The sequence below is a fragment of the Homo sapiens genome, chromosome 9, assembly GCF_000001405.40.
Source record: "Homo sapiens chromosome 9, GRCh38.p14 Primary Assembly".
NCBI lineage: Eukaryota > Metazoa > Chordata > Mammalia > Primates > Hominidae > Homo > Homo sapiens.
In genome coordinates, this window is record NC_000009.12 from 21,801,005 (window position 1) to 21,821,866 (window position 20,862).

Consider the following 20,862-nt stretch of genomic DNA (forward strand, 5'->3'; position numbering starts at 1 on the left):
AAAAGTCCAGAAGTCCAGCCTGGTCCTCGCCAAGTTTCCAACTCCTATGCCTAGGGGTATTTTATGCTTACAGGATCTAACTTGGTTACAACGTCTAACTTTTAGCAGAGAGGCAGTGCTGAGTAGAAACTGGACTTGTTAACCATATCAAGTCACTTAAGTTGGCTAGGATCCCCTACTTAGGTAGCGGCCATAAAGCCTAGGGCATCCCTGTGCCCTCAATGGTTCACTTCTGAGTGGTGGGCTTCCTGCTCCTCAATAGAGCAATCGGCAGAAAGGCCCCTAGAAAGCTACATTGTCTTCATCCGCGAAGGATTCCCTGTCTCCTATTCCTCAAAGGAGCACCCGGATTCTACTTTCATTCTTCTTTTGCCATTGCATTTTATAACTTAAAAGAAATAGATGATTGTAACAGAAGAAAGAAAACTTTACATTGTGAGAAAATTTAGACCTAAAGCTTATAGTAATGTGAGGACGAAAGTCTATACTGTTTAAGTAAATAGGTTCTATGAGCAGCATCCAGGCTAACATCACACAGTGGTATTTTGAATTAAATTGTACTTGTGTTTTGTTTCCGTGTTTTGCTGCTGTAAGGAAAGAGGAAAGCATCCCCTTTCTCGGCCCTCCTCCCACGTCCAGGCTAATTTGCAGCATTTCTACATCTCAGAGTCCACCCTTAAGATCCTTGCCACCCATTATTTTGTTTCAGAACGCTTAATCCATCAAGGAAGGTTAAATTGGATTACCCCAGTAGGGAAGGGACGGGGGCTGTAAGCATGAGGGATTATCCCTGTAAAGGGCTCGTGGTGTGTGTGTGTGTGCGTCCTGCTAGTGTTGAATGACGGAGACCTGAGTTTGGATTCTGAATCCAGGTGTATTCGATGCCGCTCCGGCGTAGAACGGGTTAAAGATGCCCCCAGCCAGGTAGAGCCAGACTGGGAGTTGTGCAAGGTCTCAACCCCCTAAAAGCGGCCCCTCAAATTGAAGATGAGTAAATCATAGTTCGTAAATCAGAAAGATTATCCAGTACTACGTTACTCTGTTTATTTCCCTTTCGTCATCCCTGAGTCTTGGGTCAAGTCCATCCCAGCTCTGTCCTCCAGGAATCAAGGGAAATACGCAAACCCGCGGTGGGTTCGCAGCCGCAGGAAGGACAAATCTTGCCCCCGCCGCGGCGGCCGCCCCGCGTTAGCTGCCTAAGAGAATCTCCGTGGCCGGCCAGTACCCGCCTTGGTGAGGATTCTCCCTCCCGCGAGAACTTCTGGAATGCCGCCGGGCCAGATTTTGCAGCTGAGGCCTCCGACGCCACTAATATTGGGCCAAGCAGGGAGTGCTGCTCTTCCTTATAAGGTTTTAGCGAAAGTTAAGTAAGCCAATTAAAGTGCAAAACACACAGTCTGGAACAATACAGCGCTCTATAAATGGTCTCCATTATTATCATTATCCGTTAGTTATAACTGGGGATAAAAAAAAAAAAAAAACGACAAAAACCTGGAGAACCGGAAAGGTCTGCAAAAGGGGCGGAACGCGGGAACTTCGATTTGGGGAAGGGGTGGCGGGGGAGATCCCACACAAGCAGCCAATCCAGCTGTCCCGGGGAGGAAGAGGAGGAGTCAAGGCCCGCCCCTGGTCTCCGCACTGCTCACTCCCGCGCAGTGAGGTTGGCACAGCCACCGCTCTGTGGCTCGCTTGGTTCCCTTAGTCCCGAGCGCTCGCCCACTGCAGATTCCTTTCCCGTGCAGACATGGCCTCTGGCACCACCACCACCGCCGTGAAGGTGAGATGAGCCCTCCCAGCCGCAGCGGTTCGCCCTGCCGGATGCCTTCTCGCCCCCGCGCCGGGGGACCGCGCCTCCGGGGGCCATGCGCCCGGCCCGTGCGTCCCTTGCCGCCGCGGGGAGGGACTGGGGCGCGGCACTCGGGACTCACTTGCCGCGCGAGGAGAGGGTACGCTTGCAAATGATCCCCCTGCCGCACCGCCAACACACACACACACACACACACACACACACACACACACACACACACACACACCACCTTTTGGCTTATCTGCACCCGCACCCTGTAGGGCGTAGGCACCCCTTTAGAGAGAGAGGTCGTGGATGGGAGAGGCTGCACCCATGCCACCACCATTCCTGAGAACCACTCTTCTTCCAAGAAAGACACCCGGCTGGAGTCAGGAGGTGTCCGGGCGCCTGCAGCTTCTGTGACCGTCTCCTGGTGCCTTGCGGGACTCCAGCTTCCGCTCTCTGACTCTGCTTGTTGCCTGCGGCCCACGTGGGAGAACTGCTTACTTGCTCTTTTGTATGCTTCCGGCTTCTTTTTCCTCCAAACGTAGGCCTTCTCCGCGCTGAAGTTTTCCCCAGCAGCGTAATACTGTAAGAATTCTGAGACTTTCTTCGAAAAGGAGTACAGGCGTCCGTTTTTAGGGCTGCACTGTTTGGAGGCCTCTGGCTTGAAACTGCTTTGTTTTGCAGCCTTGCAAGTTAGAGTTCAATTTCCTTGTGCCCTAGGCCCTGAGAGGCCTTGATACAAGGGGTCATTGTGCGGTGGGAAGCTTTGTGCTGAGGAGGGCACGAGTTCTGAGAGTAGCAGCTGGCTTCCCTGGGGTTTTAAACACTTCTCTCCTGGTTAGTATTCCGAGAGAGAATTACAGCACGTAAAGAAAAATTGATGATAAAACTTAAGACCTCTTCTAGGCAGTTTATTACTGGCTAAGAATGCGTTCTTGTTTGATTTTTAGAAATTTTTGGCCTATGGGATAGGAAGGTCTGCGATCTTCTCCAAAGCATCTCGATTCCCTACACTCGACTGCAGTTTTCCCGGGAGAAGGCGAATTTCTGCGGTCAGTGTGTAATCAGCCAGATTAGTTTATTACGCCCTTGCAGGTTTAAATGAGCCACTTAGAATGAGAGGAATGGTGAAGGGTGTTGCATCCAGACTTATATATGAAACTTATTTTGTCATTTTGAAAAGAATCTTGCATCCAGCAAATATTTATAGAAGGCCTCTCCCCTGCCTTCATTGTTTGGCGGAAACAAGGCAGAAATGGTTTTCATGAAACTCGTGTGAAGTATGTGACTTCTCTTAGGTGCTCATCTATAAACTGAGAATTTTACTGCAGAATTTGCTAGGAGGGCTAGAATTATATTGTCTATGTTGCACATGGTAGAAGCTTATTAAGTGGTAGTGCTTATAAGTGGGGGAACTGAGATTAATTTTGAATGATCTTTTCCCCAAAAATTATTAAGTTATTGTGTTAGGTATCATTAGGCCACAACTTTTCACCTTATCCTTGCAGGAATACACTTCAAGCGCCATTAAAAATGGAGAAATGGTGTTTAAAACAGTCTTACTTTAATCTGGTTAGCATTCTCCCTGCCACAGGGTTTCCCTTCAAATTAATGCAGTGCATTTAAGTGCAGAATGGGCAATGGGATTCTCAGAGACCTGATGTAAATATTGAATAGTGTGTATTTTTGGTCTTGGCAAGCTTCTGGATATAAAATTAAGAGGTACATATGGTGCTAGGACTGCCTGCTGATTTCTCTTTTAATTTAGAACAGATGACAGCTTTGCCGTAGAGATTCCATGATGCCAGCACCGTATTCCCCAGACTTCTAAGGCAACATTCTGTATAGAAGATGTGAGGTGCCAGTGTCCAGAGCAAAATAGGTTAATAAAAACCACATCCTATTCCCAAATTATAGAATGATGGGGCTGGAGTGTTCCTTCAAGACCATCCATATAGCCACACAAACCCGTTTTGCGGGTGTAAAGTTGAGGCCCAGAAAGGTCAGCTAAGTATCCAGAATTACACAGCTGGACCTAGATAATGACAGAATTGGGCCTAGAGCCTGGCATTCCACCAACTAGATGTGAGGCATTTCTGAAATCTGAAGTGTGGTCTCTGCCCTGTTTTCTTGTGACCTAATGCACAATTAAAATGAGCACTTGATAGAATGTCCATCTTGAAGAGGGAGGCAGAGGGTATGCAGAAAGCAGGCTGCCTCCAGTGCCCACTGCACACCACCCAGGTATAGGTATAGGAGGCACATGTGTGTCTGAACCCCATTGGTGTCACTGGCAGGTCCTTTGAGAGGTTGCTGGATTTAAATACAGTAACATGTAACACACTCAGCCCAGTTCCAGGTACTCCTTTAATGTCAGCCCAAGTACCTCTCTTCTTAAAATAGAGATATTAACGGGGTGGATCTTAAATTCATTCTCAATTTTAGAGGTGCAGTTAACTCATGCAAGTGAAAGATTCCACTGAGTTTTGGATTGGCAGTATATTTGGCATATCTTTCAAATCTAGCCATCTACTGGTGGAATCCTATTCAAAAATATTTATTGAATACCTGCTAGACAATGGGGATGCAGCTTTGAGTAAGCGAGGCCTTTATTTATTTTCTTCAAGTTTATATTCTAGTCAGGGTGGGAAACCAACTGACATGAAAGTGAAACAGCAGTAAGATTCCATTGGGTGAGGGGTGTCAGAAAAGACTCCTAGGGAGGTGGATTTTAAGCTGTGCAGTAGTCTGCCTCCAAAATCTGTATGTTGAAACCTAATCGCCAATGTGATGGTATTAGAAGATGGGGCCTTTGGGCGTGATTGGGGTCATAAAGGTGGAGCCCTCATGAATGGAAGCAGTGCCCTTACAAAAGAGGCCCCAGAGAGCTGCCTTATTCCCTCTACTAAGTGAGAGGACACCATCTATGAGCCAAAACGTGGGCCTTCCTCAGACACTGAATCTGCTGTGACCTTGAACTTGCTAAGCCTCCAGACTATGAGAAATTTCTGCTGTTTATAAGCCACCCAGTCCTAAGATATTTTGTTATAGCAGCCTGAATGGACTTAAGCTGATAGTGAAAATAGGGATAAAGGGTAAAGATCCAAGTGAAGACCTGAGGAGAGAGATGGGGGTAGGAGAGCGAAAACCAAGATGTCGCAGAAGTGAGCTCAGTGTGGTAGGAATGGAAATCACGGATGCACAGTGAGAATTGGGTGGATGCAGCTCATAAGGCCATCCTTGTAGACCGCGATCAAGAATTTTGATTTTAAATGTTTTGGAAACTGTTGAAGGGTTAAGAGTGGGAGGCAGCATTTGATTTACATTTTAAAATGATTACTCTGGCTGTTGTATACAGAATAGCCTGTGGGCAGGGGAAGAGCTAAGAGATCAGGCCAGAAGTCTTGGTGCTGGGGCTGAAGTCTAGGGTGGGAGCCATGGAGGTGGTGAGGAATAATCAGATTGGGGATAGAATTTGCAGGTAGAACACAGAGATGGATAAGATGTGGGGAGTGCAGGAAGAAGAACAGGATGATTTCTGCTTTTGACCTGGAAAACCAAAAAGATGATGATACTGGTGGATCATTTCAAAGTGGGCGATAAGGGGCCACGAGTGACTCCTTGGAGCCAAGGAGGGTGAGTGTAGGATTCCTTCCTCCCAGATACTGCTGGTTAGGGGGCCAGAGGCTGGGATGCTGAGGGGCCTCTTTGCTGTAGGAGCAGAGTGGGTGGCAGGTTGAGGGAGGGAGGAAGCCACCTGGAGTGAGAGTAATTCAAGCAATCTTTTTTGTGGTTCACTGCAGTGAGAGATGGTCCAGGCAGGGAGTGAGGATATTACCTGGGGGGTAGCCATGGAGAGAGGCAGCAGGAGCCAGAGGCTATGGGATTAACACTGCCATTGTCTGAGAGGACCTCAGGGAGACATTGTCCTCCAGCATCAGCCAAGGGCAGGTGGTATTCCTGACAGAGGGCCAAACCAGTCTTTGGCACCCAGATACAGGGCATTCTGGAGGGCTCCTGCAGTGTACCATGGCTCCCCTGGGCAGCCTCCCAGCTTTCATTCTGGGAGATTAAAAATAAGACTTGGCCAGGCGCGGTGGCTCATGCCTGTAATCCCAACACTTTGGGAGGCCCAGCTGGGCAGATTACCTGAGCTCAGAAGTTCAAGACCAGCCTGGGCAACATGGTGAAACCCCATTTCTACAAAAAATACAAAAATTAGCCAGGCACGGTGCTGCACGCATGTAATCCCAGCTACTCAGGAGGCCAAGGTGGGCGAATCTCTTGAGCCCAGGAGGCAGAGGTTGCAGTGAGCAGAGACTGCGCCATTGCACTCCAGCCTGGGCGACAGAGTAAGATCCTGTCTCAAAATAATAATAATAATAACAACAACTTGTTAATCATGGTTGCTGTGACAAGGAGGGGATATGGTCCCATTGTAGGTTGGTAGTGAGCTATCAACATAATGATATTAAGGGAGATGGACAAGTCATGGTTTGTAGACTGTGGAATATGGGCCTTTACACTCCCTGCTTTGCTGTCTTGAGTGTGGCCTGCAAGGGCCTTCAGCCTGAGAGTCCTTGTGTGGCTATCTGAAACTGAGGACAACCTGCAGGCCCCAGTTGAAAATCACATGACCAACAAGCCTTCATTTTTTTTGCCTAGGGACACAAGGGCATTTTGGGCAGGACAATTATTTCTTTTGTAGGACTGTCCCAAGCATTGCAGGACATGGAGTACAACCCTTAACCTCCTCCACAGAAATGCCAGTAGCACTCCCCCTAGTCATGACAGCCAGAAATAGCCCTGTTTCCAGATACCCCCAGGAGAGCTGTTTGACATTTAGTTGAGGACCCCAAGGCTAAATCCCAAAAAAGACTACCTGCTGAAGAGAGGTAGGAGCAGCCAGGTTTTGTACTGCTCAGCAGAGTAAAAGGAGGAAATAAGGGCTTTTTTTGTTGCTTTGAGGAAGTTTATTTTGATTTTTTATTTTTGCCAGGAGTGGTAGGGTATACAGAAACAGAGACTGATGGTAATACATTATTTCATTTTATTCTCTTGATAATTTTATGGATTAGTAAAAATCTTACCCTATAGGTACAGCTGAGGAAGCAGTTAAGGAAAATGTTTGTATGCAGTGGATTCTGGATCCTCACCTGTGGTTGTAGTCATGGCATTCCAGCCTGTGCCTCAAAAGCATCTAAAGCAGTGGTTCTCAAAGCGTGTCATGCATTCATATCACCTGGTCATTTGCTAGAAATGCAAGTTCATAGGCCCCACCCCAGTCCCAGTGAATCAGAAACTCTGGGGCTGGGGCCCAGCAATCTAGGTTTTGACAAGCCTTAGAATATTCAGATGTCCACCGAAGTTTGACAGCCACTGACCTAGAGAGCTTTGGAAAGGGTGGCCATCTACATTTTTAACAAGTTCTTCCCTTAGTGTTATAGTTTCCTGTTGCTGCTATAACAATTTTCACAAATGGAGTGGCTTAAGACAACACACATGAGGCCGGGCATGGTGGCTCATGCCTGTAATCATAGCACTTTGGGAGGCTGAGGTGGATAGACTGCTTGAGCTCAGGCGTTCAAGACCAGCCTGGGCAGCATGGTGAAACCTCATCTCTGCAAAAAAAAAAAACAAAAAAATTAGCCAGGCGTGGCGGTGCACGCTTGTAGTTCAGCTCCTTGGGGGCTGAGGTAGGAGGGTCACTTGAACCCAGGAGGTTGAGGCTGCAGTGAGCTGAGATTTCACCACTGCACTCCAGCAGCCTGGGTGACAAAGTGAGACTCTGTTTCCAAAAAAAAAAAAAACACACACACACACACACAAACGTATTCTCTTACAGTTCTGGAGTCCACAAATCCAAAATGAGTCTTACAGGGCTAAAATTAACATGTGTATCGGGCTGGTTCCTCTTAGAAAAACCATTTCCTTGCCTTTTTCAGTCTTCTGAACCTGTAGAACCATGAGCTAAATAAGCCTCTTTTCTTTATAAATTACCCTATCTCAGGTATTCTGTTATAGCAGCAGAAAACAGACTAAGAAAAATGTTGTGCTTGTAAGAGATTGGGACACGGACACATACAGAGGGAAGACCATGTGAAGACACATGGAGAACGCTGCCATCTACAAGCCAAGGAGACTGACCTTAGAAGAAATCAATCCCAATCTCACCTTAATGTTGGACTTCTAGCCTCCAGAACTGTGAGAAGATAAGTTTCTCTTGCTTATGGGGAAAACCTATTTCCTTGCCTTTTTCAGCTTCTGGAGGCACCAGCACTTCTTGGCCCATGGCCCCACATCATGTCCCCTTTTCTCTCCCTCTGCTTCTATCATTATATCACTTTCTTCCTCATTTGACCTTCTTGCCTCCTTGTGATTTCATTTAGGTCCCACCCAGGTAATCTAGGATAATCTCCCCATCTCAAGATCCTGGATTTAATCATATTTGAGGTAACATTCCCAGGTTCTGGGAATTAGGATGTAGCTAGGATCTCTTGGGACAGGGGCATTGTTCAGCTTGCCACACTCAGCCCACGTTTTAAAAATTTATGGTCTAGGGGCCGGGCGCGGTGGCTCATGCCTGTAATCCCAGCACTTTGGGAGGCTGAGGCGGGCGGATCACAAGATCCGAAGATTGAGACCATCCTGGCTAACATGGTGAAACCCCGTCTCTACTAAAAATACAAAAAATTAGCCGGGCACGGTGGCAGCCTCCTGTCATCCCAGCTACTTGGGAGACTAAGGCAGGAGAATGGTGTGAAACTGGGAGGCGGAGCTTGCAGTGAGCCGAGATCGCACCACTGCACTCCAGCCTGGGCGACAGAGTGAGACTCCGTCTCAAAAAAAAAAAAAAGAAAGAAATTTATGGTCTAGGCCCTAGAGCAGGTTGCTTAGTTCTGAGGGCACTTTAGAACCACCTGCGGAGCTTTAAAAACAAACTACGCCTTGCCCAACTAATCAGAATCCCTGAGGCCTGGGCTTTGGTATTGAAAGCTAGAGAAGGGGAATGTCCTAGTATCCAGCAGCTGGTTCAGGAGGGTGGGTGGCTCCCACTGTTGCTCCACAGGCAAAGGAGAGCTCTAACAAAGTATGCATTAGGGAGAGTCCTCCTCTAAAAATATCTGGCCATTTCAGCAGGTGAAGTGTGTCTTTAAGAGGGTGTCTGCCCTTTAGACTGATATCTGTACTTCTCAAGGGGCATTTGCTCAAATAAAAACCATGGATGTTTTGAGCGCTTGCATCATCCAAGCTTCTCTGACTAAAATATAGAGTCACTGTATTAGTTCGCTAGGCCTGCTATAACAAAGCACTACAGAATGGGTAGCTTATGCAACAGAAGCATTATCTCCTCACAGCGCTGGAGGTTAGAAGTCCAAGATCAAGGTGAGATCAAGGTGGATTTCTTGTAAGGTCAGTCTGCTTGGCTTGTACATGGCAATGTTCTCCATTTGTCTTCACAGGGTCTTCCCTCTGTATGTGGTTATATCCCAATCTCTTGTAAGGACAACAGTTTTCTTAGTCTGTTTTCTGTTGCTATAACAGAATACCTGAGACAGGGTAATTTATAAAGAGAAGAGGTTTATTTAAAAGAAATGAAAGGGAGACGAGGGAGATAGGAAAAGGAAACAAAAAAGAGACAAACTTTGCTTCATAACAACCCACTCTCACTGGAACTAATCCAACCCAATGAGAGCAAGAACACCCTCCCCTGGGACTGCATGAATCCCTTAATTGGGGTGGATTATTACCATGGCTCATGACTCAAACTCCTCTTAAAGGTACTACCTCCCAGCATCACTATATTTGGGGACCAAGCCTCAACATGAGTTTTGAAGATGACCACATTCAAACCATAACATGAGGTATACTGCATTAGGGCCCATCCCAGTGACCTCATTTGATCTGAATTACCTCTTTAAAAACGGCAAATACAGTCACATTCTGAGGTACTGAGAGTTGGAACTTCAACCTATGAACTTAGGGGAGATACAATTCCATCCATAACCATTACCTACAAGGGTGGCCTACAGAGGGGGTGTCTTGTCAGAGATGGAGACCCCAGCTATCCCTGTGGACCCTATTGCAGGTTTTTAACAGTCCTCACAGCCTGAGACAGTTGGTTGCTCCCTCTCATACAGCTAGGCTTCCAGGATTTTGCAAGGCCCTGACAGGCCTCAAAGCCATGTCAGCCTAATAATGAGGGCCTCCGTCTGCTGTGCTTGCCAAAATTGTTATGGCAACCAGAGCTAAAGGACTGCAGTGCTCAGATCGGGCTGTGCCAGCTCCAGCTCTGGCTCGCTTACCTTATCGTGAGCTTGAGGCACTCAGAGGCAGCCCATCTCCCTGGCATGAGCTAGTCTCAACCGCTTGGGGTGATGGTATTTTGAAAATGCCATTATAGAGTGCTGGGTTCCTTACGGCAGTGTGCCCAGGCCTCAAAGTGATGGTGAATGGTTTCTGGGACAAAGAAGGGTTGGTAAAATCTCCTGTAGCCAGGTACTAGAAGAAATAGACAGAGTAGGGGTTACTATGCACCCTTTCCACATTGCTAGAAGTAACTGTTCTGACCAGGTGAACTGGTATTTGGATAAATGCTTTCACAGTCTCAGAGAAGTCAGACCCTTGGATTGATTTGCTCTTGAACAAAAAAATTTTTTTTTTCACTGTGAAAATGCTTTCTTTGGGGTGTCTTTAGAACATGTGATGTCAAGACACAACAGCAAGCGCACATACACTAAGACATGGCTGTCATAGAACAGATTGTGCGTGAATAAAGGGTTCACACCACTTCCACCCTTTACACAGTAACAGAAGGCTCTAGGCCACCTACCTCCTCCTTGGCTCACTCAAACTCTTCCTCCTCAGCCGTGGCCTCCTGCTACTGCTGGTACTCAGACACCAGGTCGTTCATGTTGCTTTCAGCCTCGGTGAATTCCATCTCATCCATGCCCTCGCCCGTGTACCAGTACAGGAAAGCTTTGCACCGAAGTATACCTGTGAACTGCTCTGAGATGCCCTTGATCAGATCCTAGATAGCAGTGTTGTTGCCAGTGAAGGTGGCCGGACATCTTTAGCCCTGAGGGTGGGAAGTCACACACAGCTGTTTTTATATCTTGGGGGATCCAACCAACAAAGTAGCTGCTGTTCATATTTTGGGCATTAAGCATGTGCATGTCCACCTCCTTCATGGACATGTGGCCCCTGAACATGGCAGCTACCATTACGTAGCAACCATGGCAGAGGTTGCAGGCAGCCATCATATTCTTGGCATCAAAGAACTGCCAAGTGGGCTCACGCACCATGAGGGCCCAGTACTGCTGGTTGTCCCAGCTGGTCAGCAGGGGGAAGCCATACATGAAGTGCAGGTGGGGGAACAGGACCATGTTTGCGGCCAGCTTCTGCAAGTCAGCATTGAGTTGGCCAGGGAAATGCAGACAGATGGTGACCCCACTCATGGCTGCAGACACCAGGTGGTTCAAGTCACTGTAGGTAGGTGTGGGCAGCTTTAGGGTTCTGAGGCAGATGTCATAGAGAGCTTTATTTATTATCATTGCAGAAGGTCTAGTTTTGAGAAGTTTGGTTTGATGGTCAGTCCGTGGAAAAGTGTGGCATGAGCCACTAGCTTTTAAAATCTGTCAAGGACCTTGATTGACTCCCTATTTCAGAACTCTATCTTGTGTAATAAAGAAGTCCTGGCTGGGCAGAAATTCCATCTCAGGTCTTGAACACATTTCCTACACAGTCTAGAATTAACTGGACTGAGGACTGACGCTTCCTGCCCAGGAGGCCTGGCAAGGTCTTGTCATTGTTTCCTGAGGGTGGATGAGGTCATTAAGAAAGAGTTTTCCTCCCCTCTGAGATGATTCACTCAGATACCTGGAGTCACTGTTTCTGTGCTTGTTCTGTGACCTTCGTCATGAACTTGACCTCTCTGAGCATGTTGTCTCATAACATGGAGACAAATAACTTTTCTAATAAGGTATAATGTTATGGAGGACTCCAGGGGATATTGGGAGAGGGCACATCATAGTGGTTAAGCCTGAAAGACCTAGATTTGTATCCCAGCTTTGCTCCTTATGATTGGCCCCTGGACGAGGTTTTTAATTTTTGTGCTTCTCTTTCTTCGTTTGTAAAACGGGTAACATTCTATAGGGCCCATCTTATGGTCCTGATGATGAAATAAGGTAAGGCCACTGAAGCACTTAGCACAGTGCCTTTAACATGTAAGTCCACAGACACAGTTACTTTATAACTAAGGCAGTACTGAGTTGACACAAACTTAGAGACTCAAAGGAATGTGGATAGAATTGGGCCATCAGTGCTTGGGTACTTCATCCCAGTTGTACTTTGCTGTGGAGCCAGCAGGTGGCGACATTGGCCACATCTTGGCCCTGCTGGCCTCCATCTTAGAGGTCCAGTTTCCTGGGATGGCGGGACTCAGTTGCTACACTTGTCCCTGTATCCCTCGCACAATGTAGGTTTCCGTAAACAACTGGACCTAGTAAAGTGACTGGATGGGCTTGCCTGCAGATCATTCCAGAGCAGTAGCCACTCTTGCTTTCATGTCCAGGGCTACTACATGTTCCTTGCTGAGGGCTGAGTTGCCAGCTACCTGGTGCAGAGTCATTATGCAGCCAGGTGGTGCAGACTGAAGCTTGGGGTTGCTGAGAGTGAGCTCAGGGGCTCTGAAATTCAGCGGGACACCTGGTTAGCATTTCTCAACAACTGCTACAATGCTGGGCAAGTTCACCTAAACTCAGAGGGTGGCTCCAAACAAAGCCCAACTCGATTTGTGTATTTGATCCCGAGCATCCAGTGTTGAATCCAGAATCTGAGATGCCCTGGCTCAGGGAACACCCAGAAACAGCCAGGCCAAAGTGGTGATAAGTTAAAAAGCTAGTAGCTGAATCCCCAGGGAGCTGGCTGAGAGTAATTTCAGAGTCAGCAGTTCATATCTGTGTCCCAGGTGAGGATATGGGCTGGATGGTTTCTTAGCCTCCTCATGACCTGTGGTGCTTCAGAGGTCCACGGAATGAAGGATAAGATGGAGAAGCCAGGCTAAGGAAGGATTGGGATTTCCTAAAACAGTATGAATTTTTGTTATTTTCTATTGAAGTGCCGTAATTTAAATGTATTGACTTAAGTGAACACTTCTGTTGATTTGAAAGCTATAATACTGGTTACTCTTTGTTCGTTGACATAAAAGTATGTTAACCTGCTGTGGTTTTAATAATATACCTCCACAAGATGGCGCCAACATCAAAGCCTGGCTTTGCCACTTAAGGAAATTGTGGTGGACAGTCACAAATTATGTAACCATGTCATGGGAAACAGGCAGAGTTCTTCAGTAAAAACCTCACTAAATTGTCCTTATTTTCTTGTTTGTTTTTTGTTGTTGTTGCTTTTTTTGTGTGTGTGTTTTGTTTTTTTCAGGAAACTGAGCCAGAAAGGTAACCATTTTTTTACGTGTTGATAGGACTCAACTTGTGTAACCTGACCTGAAAATTATTTAATGCAGATGTTCACTGAATTCTTAATCCTGGAATTTTTTTCTTGAGGCCTACTTTATTTTATTTAGTTACCCTTGTGACAATAGATTTAAAGCTTTTCATTGAAAAACAACAATGCTCAGGTCACTTCGCATTAATTAGGTTTCTAATAAAGTTAGCCTGGCACTGTTTACTCTCTAGGAGGTACCAGCCCAAGGAAATTTCCCTAATGATTTGTTACTTATTTTTAGTTTTAACAGTTTAGTTAATTTTTATTTATTTTTGTAATTGTTCTTGTTTGTCTTTCTTAATCATCAAATTAGATCAACTCTCAGAGGATAGTGCTAGGTTTCTTTAACTCAGACAAGGACTTTCAAGATAATCTCTGAAAAATGCAATACAATGCATGAACTTAAAAAAAACTTATAACTACCTTTTGAATTATTTATATTTGCATAAATGTATTTACTGAGTAATATACATGAGTATGCTATATGTATATTTACAACATGTAAATATGAATTTGCATACATATATGAATGATTGTTTTCATAAATGTATATGCGGGTAACTTTTCATGCAATTTCAGTCTCCTCTGTCTGCATTCTCTCCTAGCTCTGTGATTCTAATGGCGTGGGAAAGATAATCTCTCATTTCTTTATCAAATAGAACAGTGAGGAGAAATCAATACCAAATGGAATACCTAATATTTTATATCCCAGCAGTCTTCTGAACATTGTTTATTCTATAGTCCATTTGACAGAGAAACAAAATTGATCAGAAGGTACTTTCCACTACCATACTTGCCTACTTTTAGGTTTGATTTTCTACCTTGAGTTGGTTAAAATACCTCTCTATGCTGACTTGTAATTCAGACAGTCAGAAGTAAATGTGATGTAGTCCAAAAAGGTGCCCTACGTTTTGGTTACTTATAGAATATAGAAGGCCTTCAAATGTTTGTTGATTTTTATGGAAGGCTTTGAAATATTTGTTGATTGATGTTCAGTAATTTTCAGATTTCAAAAAAATAACTAGGGCTTGGCAGGAATGGAGAAGAGCATATGAATAAATGAATTTGCTTAGAATCTTATTTCTAATAAAAATTACCAAATACAATAATCTTCTCTGTCTTTTTCTCTCTTAGATTGGAATAATTGGTGGAACAGGCCTGGATGATCCAGAAATTTTAGAAGGAAGAACTGAAAAATATGTGGATACTCCATTTGGCAAGGTTAATATCCAACTTGTGGAGACATGTTTTTTAGTTTTTTCATTTCTCCTTGCTGGCTTGATTTTTGAATTAAAAAAAAAAAAAAGAATTGCTTTTGTTTTGGCAGCCCAGGGCTGTCTGCTCCCAGCAGAGAGGGCCAGAAGTTCTGCTGTTGGGTTCCATCAGCTGAGAAGGTGTCTGATGGGCGCCTCACACTTTGATGTTTTGAGAAAATGGCTACTTAGTATGTAAATCACTTCTCATTCTGTTGCTGGAAATCAGATACTCATTTCAGACCACAGACTCATTTCAGACTGTACTTTTCAAATCTACATTCAAATCTTCTAATTTGTGGCCAATAGGTCACACCACACTAATTAGGGGACAGGCTGATGACTAATAGGATGAATTATTGTTACGAAGCGGCATTTGAGTGGAAAGAATTGTTTTGGGGAATTAGAACATACCTGATGTTAGTTGAATGTGTAACTGAGCTAGAAATAAAATGCTCCTCCTTTTATAGGAGAGGTTGCTTGTTCTCCAAGCCCATGTCACTCAGCCTAGGCCGGGGTGAGGGTGTCTGCATTCTCCTAATTCCATATTGCTACGTCCTCTGGTCCATCTGTAAGATCTCTCTATCTGGCTGTCCCAACCAAACCCTCCTTTTCAGCTAAATTCTTAGGTTGACCTTGTGTGCTCCCAGTCCTGCAGTCATCCTGGTTCATTTTCTTAAACCCCTCGGTTCTAAGGGTCTTTCCAGCCTTTGTTACCTCAAGTCATTTCCATGATCATCTTAGACCTGGTTAACACAAGCAGACATTTCCAGTGCTGAATTCTTAGTGTCATGATGGTGGCTTGTTATCCTTTCTGCCTTTCACCTTCACACCTGTTCTCAAACCTGCCCAATAACCTTGACACATCTAAATTTGACCAGTCTACCATCAGAGTTCCCTGGGGTACTCGTTACAAATAGATCTGACTAAATGGTACCTACACAGGTGCCCATGGTAACCTTGAGTCCTGTGAATCTATGCCTGCAGAGGGATCAATAAGTAATTGATTAAATGATTATATTGATAATCAGATCTTGCCTCTTCTCTAAGTTGTATCCTCAGACTCTTCAGATTCCATGAGTCCTGTTGTGGTTGAACAATTATAATTTACATACCTGTTTTTAAATCACTGAGTTAAATGTCATTTTTTCATTGCATGCAGCCATCTGATGCCTTAATTTTGGGGAAGATAAAAAATGTTGATTGCGTCCTCCTTGCAAGGTATGGTATTTTAAGCTTTTTGGATGTTACTACTAAAGGATAATTTAAATTTAACTTAAATTCTGGAAAGAGTAAAGATACAGGTCTGAGCTTTTATATGTTGGCAGAATCAGAACATCTTAGTAACCTTTATTTACAATGTTTTATTTTTGGTTAAGTTATATTGACTTAGGAGATCAAAGATCTCATGCTCTTGCCCCTTACATTGGGAAAGTAGATCAGATGACTAAAATCAAAGCTCTGGTTTTAGTTCTAACTGCAAGAAGAAATGTTTTGTTCATTTTTTTCCCCCTTCTTATAAAGATAAAGAAAAACAATGCATCATTAATGACCTCTTGCTGGTAGTAGTTATATGTCTGTGGGAAGTAGGCTTAGGGCTTCTGAAGTGGGTTACTTGTGTCTGTGCTGTTGTTTCCTTAAGGAGGCTGGTGCTGCTCCATATTACAGAGGAGGCCAAGTCATTTTTATCCCATTGTTAGAAGTTAGTCAAGATATATGTATGAGTTCTCTACTGTTGTGTAACAAATTACCACAAATTTAGCAGCTTAAAATAGCACACATCATCTCCTAGTTCCTGTTGGTCAGAAGTCTGGCACAGCTTAGCCAGTCCTCTGCTTGGGGTTGCACAAGGCCCCACAAGGCATATTCAAGGACTGAGTCCCCATCTGGAGCTTGAGGTCCTTGTTCAAGCTCGTGTAGTTGTAGGAGAATTCACTCCCTAGAAGTTACAGGGCGGAGGCCTTTGGCTCCTAGAGGTGGTTCACATTCCCTGCCGTGTGGCCTGCTCCACAGGCTGTTCACTTGACTGCAGCTTGCTTCTTGCTATTAGGATATGGCAAAGGTGCTAGAAGTCACCTCCATGGTTAAGCTGTACCTTGCAAGCATGCAGGAGTCCGGCAGGAGAATCTCCTATGCATGCTTGCAAGGTAGAGCCTAATCGTGGGAGTGACTTATAGCACGTTTACCATTTTTCTATTGGCTGAATGCAAGTCCCAGGTTCACTGATCCTTTATACAGAGCATGACAGTGGGGTCCTCACTAGGGTCTGTCTGCCACTCTACATATTTGAAACAGGAGTGGCTTCTCAGAATCCAGTGAACCTAAATTTTAGTTTTAGTTGCTCACTGGACTGGGTTCTAGGAGACCCCCTGTGTTAGTCTGTGGTCATTGCTAGAGAATCACTTAATTTTTTCTAGACTCTAGGAGAAAACAGTTGGTGGTGTACTCATCACGGGTTAACAATTTCTTCTCTCCTTCCATAGGCATGGAAGGCAGCACACCATCATGCCTTCAAAGGTCAACTACCAGGCGAACATCTGGGCTTTGAAGGAAGAGGGCTGTACACATGTCATAGTGACCACAGCTTGTGGCTCCTTGAGGGAGGAGATTCAGCCCGGCGATATTGTCATTATTGATCAGTTCATTGACAGGTAAGCAGTCATACAAAATGCTTTAGGCTATTGTAGCTGGTCATTTTCAGCTCAAATGGACGACGCGTGGGAACCGGCAGGGCAACTGGGAGGGCAGTGCCACAGACTCGCTTGCTTTTTTTTTTTTTTTTTTTTTTTTTTTGGAGACGGAGCCTCACTCTGTCTCCCAGGCTGGAGTGCAGTGGCATGAACTCAGCTCACTGAAACCTCCGCCTCCCAGGTTCAAGCAATGCTTCTGTCTTAGCCTCCCGAGTAGCTGGGACTACAGGCACATGCCACAATGCCCAGCTAATTTTTGTATTTTTAGTAGAGATGGAGTTTCGTCATATTGGTCAGGCTGGTCTTGAATCAGGAGATCACCCGCCTCCGCCTCCCAAAGCGCAAAGTGCTGGGATTACAGGCGTGAGCCACTGCACCCAGCCTGTGTTAAGCTTTTCATTGTGAGTTTTTGTTTTTTAATTTTAATTGACAAATGATAAATGTATATATGAGGTATAACATTATATTTTGATATATGTATGCATTGTACAATGATTAGCAAAGCTAATTAACATATTACCCCACATATCATCTTTAGTGGTGAGAACATTTGATTTTTACTTTAACAATTTTGAAATACATAATACGTTGTCATTAGCTATAATCACCATGCAGTATAATCTCAAAAACTTATTCCTCCTGTCTAACTGAAATTTTGTGCTTTGATCAACGTCTCCCCAAACCCCAGCCCCTGGTAACCTTTCTACTCTTTACTTCTATGAGTTTGACTTAGTTAGATTCCACATATAGGTGAGATCATGCAGTATTTGTCTTTCCATGGCTGGTTTATTTCACTTAACATAATGTCCAGGTTCACCCATGTTGTGGCAATTGACAGAGTTGCGTTCTCTTTTAAGGCTAAATGGTATTCTGTTGTGTATATATACCACATTTTCTTTTTTTTTTTTTTAATTGTACTTTTAAGTTCTAGGGTACATGTGCACAACGTGCAGGTTTGTTACATATGTGTACATGTGCCATGTTGGTGTGCTGCACCCATTAACTCGTCATTTACATTGGGTATATCTCCTGATGCTTTCCCTCCCCACTCCCCCAACCCCACAAGAGGCCCTGGTGTGTGATGTTCCCCTTCCTATGTCCAAGTGTTCTCATTGTTCAGTTCCCACCTATGAGTCAGAACATGCGGAGTTTGGTTTTTTGTTCTTGGGATACTTTGCTGAGAATGATGGTTTCCAGCTTCATCCATGTCCCTACAAAGGACAGGAACTAATCCCTTTTTATGGCTGCGTAGTATTCCATGGTGTATATGTGCCACATTTTCTTAATCCAGTCTATCATTGATGGACATTTGGGTTGGTTCCAAGTCTTTGCTATTGTGAATAGTGCCGCAATAAACATACGTGTGCATGTGCCTTTATAGCAGCATGATTTATAATCCTTTGGGTATATACCCAGTAATGGGATGGCTGGGTCAAATGGTATTTCTAGTTCTAGATCCATGAGAAATCGCCACACTGTCTTCCACAATGGTTGAACTAGTTCACCTTCCCACCAGCAGTGTAAAAGTGTTCCTATTTCTCCACATCCTCTCCAGCACCTGTTGTTTCCTGACATTTTAATGATCACCATTCTAACTGGTGTGAGATGGTATCTCATTGTGGTTTTGATTTGCATTTCTCTGATGGCCAGTGATGATGAGCATTTTTTCATGTGTCTTTTGGCTGCATAAATGTCTTCTATTGAGAAGTGTCTGTTCATATCTTTTGCCCACATTTTGATGGGGTTGTTTGATTTTTTTCTTGTAACTTTGTTTGAGTTCTTTGTAGATTCTGGATATTAGCCCTTAGTCAGATGCGTAGGTTGCAAAAATTTTCTCCCATTCTGTAGGTTGCCTGTTCACTCTGATGGTAGTTTCTTTTGCTGTGCAGAAGCTCTTTAGTTTAATTAGATCCCATTTGTCAATTTTGGCTTTTGTTGCCATTGCTTTTGGTGTTTTAGTCATGAAGTCCTTCCCCATGCCTATGTCCTGAATGGTATTGCCTAGGTTTTCTTCTAGGGTTTTTATGGTTTTAGGTCTAACATTTAAGTCTTTAATCTATCTTGAATTAATTTTTGTATAAGGTGTAAAGAAAGGATCCAGTTTCAGCTTTCTACACATGGCTAGCCAGTTTTCCCAGCACCATTTATGAAATAGGGAATCCTTTCCCCATTTCTTGTTTTTGTCAGGTTTGTCACAGATCAGATGCTTGTAGATGTGTGGTATTATTTCTGAGGGCTCTGTTCTGTTCCATTGGTCTATATCTGTTTTGGTACCAGTACCACGCTGTTTTGGTGACTGTAGCCTTGTAGTGTAGTTTGAAGTCAGGTAGTGAGATGCCTCCAGCTTTGTTCTTTTGGCTTAGGATTGTCTTGGCAATGTTCATGGTTCCATATGAACTTTAAAGTAGTTTTTCCCAATTCTGTGAAGAAAGCCATTGGTAGCTTGATGGGGATGGCACTGAATCTATAAATTACCTATGGCCATTTTCATGATATTGATTCTACCTATCCATGAGCATGGAATGTTCTTCCATTTGTTTGTATCCTCTTTTATTTCATTGAGCAGTGGTTTGTAGTTCTCCTTGAAGAGGTCCTTCACAACCCTTGTAAGTTGGATTCCTAGGTATTTTATTCTCTTTGAAGCAATTGTGAATGTGAGTTCACTCAAGATTTGGCTCTCTGTTTGTCTGTTATTGGTGTATAAGAATGCTTGTGATTTTTGCACATTGATTTTGTGTCCTGAGACTTTGCTGAAGTTGCTTTTCATCTTAAGGAGATTTTGGGCTGAGACGATGGGGTTTTCTAAATATACAGTCATGTCATCTGCAAACAAGGACAATTTGATTACTCTTTTCCTAATTGAATACCCTTTACATCTTTCTCCTGCCTGATTGCCCTGGCCAGAACTTCCAGCACTGTGTTGAATAGGAGTGGTGAGAGAGGGCATCCCTGTCTTGTGCCAGTTTTCAAAGGGAATGCTTCCAGTTTTTGCCCATTCAGTATGATATTGGCTGTGGGGTTGTCATAAATAGCTCTTATTATTTTGAGCTACGTCCCATCAATACCTAACTTATTGAGAGTTTTTAGCATGAAGGGCTGTTGAATTTTGTCAAAGGCCTATTCTGCATCTATTGAGATAATCATGTAGTTTTTGTCTTTGGTTCTGTTTATATGCTGGATTATGTTTATTGATTTGCGTATGTTGAACCAGCCTTGCATCCCAGGGATGAAGCCCACTTGATGATGGTGGATAAGCTTTTTGATGTGCTGCTGGATTCAGTTTGCCAGTATTTTATTGAGGATTTTTGCATCGATGTTCATCAGGGATATTGGTCTAAAATTGTCTTTTTTGGTTGTGTCTCTGCCAGGCTTTGGTATCAGGATGATGCTGGCCTCATAAAATGAGTTAGGGAGGATTCCCTCTTTTTTTATTGATTGGAATAGTTTCAGAAGGAATGGTACCAGCTCCTCCTTGTACCTCTGGTAGAATTCGGCTGTGAATCCATCTGGTCCTGGACTTTTTTTGGTTGGTAGGCTATTAATTATTGCCTCAACTTCAGAGCCTGTTTGTTATTGGTCTATTCAGGGATTCAATTTCTTCCTGGTTTAGTCTTGGGAGGGTGTG

General features: G+C 44.3%; 1 protein-coding gene and 1 pseudogene across 8 annotated transcripts in view, besides 6 other annotated features; one reads left to right on the plus strand and one right to left on the minus strand.

Annotated features, from left to right (window-relative positions):
• Positions 511-1,141: an enhancer, noted in NCBI's record as "H3K27ac hESC enhancer chr9:21801514-21802144 (GRCh37/hg19 assembly coordinates)". NCBI's record gives its function as "activates a minimal SCP1, AML or CMV promoter by ChIP-STARR-seq in primed H9 embryonic stem cells {active_cell/tissue: H9 hESC(primed)}" and the evidence as "EXISTENCE:reporter gene assay evidence [ECO:0000049][PMID:30033119]".
• Positions 1,142-1,770: an enhancer, noted in NCBI's record as "H3K27ac hESC enhancer chr9:21802145-21802773 (GRCh37/hg19 assembly coordinates)". NCBI's record gives its function as "activates a minimal SCP1, AML or CMV promoter by ChIP-STARR-seq in primed H9 embryonic stem cells {active_cell/tissue: H9 hESC(primed)}" and the evidence as "EXISTENCE:reporter gene assay evidence [ECO:0000049][PMID:30033119]".
• Positions 1,632-20,862, plus strand: part of MTAP (methylthioadenosine phosphorylase) — a 138,480-nt gene continuing 119,249 nt past the window's right edge. For 7 of the 8 annotated variants that reach the window (NR_173242.1, NM_001396044.1, NM_001396043.1 and 4 more), the window contains exons 1-4: positions 1,632-1,777; positions 14,429-14,515; positions 15,710-15,768; positions 17,031-17,198. Coding sequence is in view for 7 of the 8 variants with exons in the window: in NM_001396044.1 (NP_001382973.1) it covers positions 1,745-1,777; positions 14,429-14,515; positions 15,710-15,768; positions 17,031-17,198 (347 nt within the window). In the remaining variant the exon portion in view is untranslated. Of the gene's footprint in view, positions 1,947-14,428; positions 14,516-15,709; positions 15,769-17,030; positions 17,199-20,862 lie in introns of all 8 variants that reach the window. The other variant, NM_001396040.1, reaches the window with a different exon arrangement.
• Positions 1,815-1,974: a silencer, noted in NCBI's record as "silent region_19809". NCBI's record gives its function as "represses an Ori minimal core promoter by ATAC-STARR-seq in GM12878 lymphoblastoid cells {active_cell/tissue: GM12878}" and the evidence as "EXISTENCE:reporter gene assay evidence [ECO:0000049][PMID:35858748]".
• Positions 2,265-2,474: an enhancer, noted in NCBI's record as "active region_28241". NCBI's record gives its function as "activates an Ori minimal core promoter by ATAC-STARR-seq in GM12878 lymphoblastoid cells {active_cell/tissue: GM12878}" and the evidence as "EXISTENCE:reporter gene assay evidence [ECO:0000049][PMID:35858748]".
• Positions 4,133-4,277: an enhancer, noted in NCBI's record as "145 bp 9:21805208 sequence used in MPRA reporter constructs". NCBI's record gives its function as "activates a minimal TATA-containing promoter with rs80138396 allelic activity by MPRAs in C283T melanocytes {active_cell/tissue: C283T}" and the evidence as "EXISTENCE:reporter gene assay evidence [ECO:0000049][PMID:36423637]".
• Positions 4,205-4,206: a transcriptional cis regulatory region, noted in NCBI's record as "rs80138396 or 9:21805208 MPRA-significant variant associated with a GWAS melanoma risk locus at 9p21.3". NCBI's record gives its function as "allelic transcriptional activity by MPRAs in C283T melanocytes {active_cell/tissue: C283T}" and the evidence as "EXISTENCE:reporter gene assay evidence [ECO:0000049][PMID:36423637]".
• TUBB8P1 (tubulin beta 8 class VIII pseudogene 1) lies at positions 10,485-11,358 on the minus strand (annotated as a pseudogene).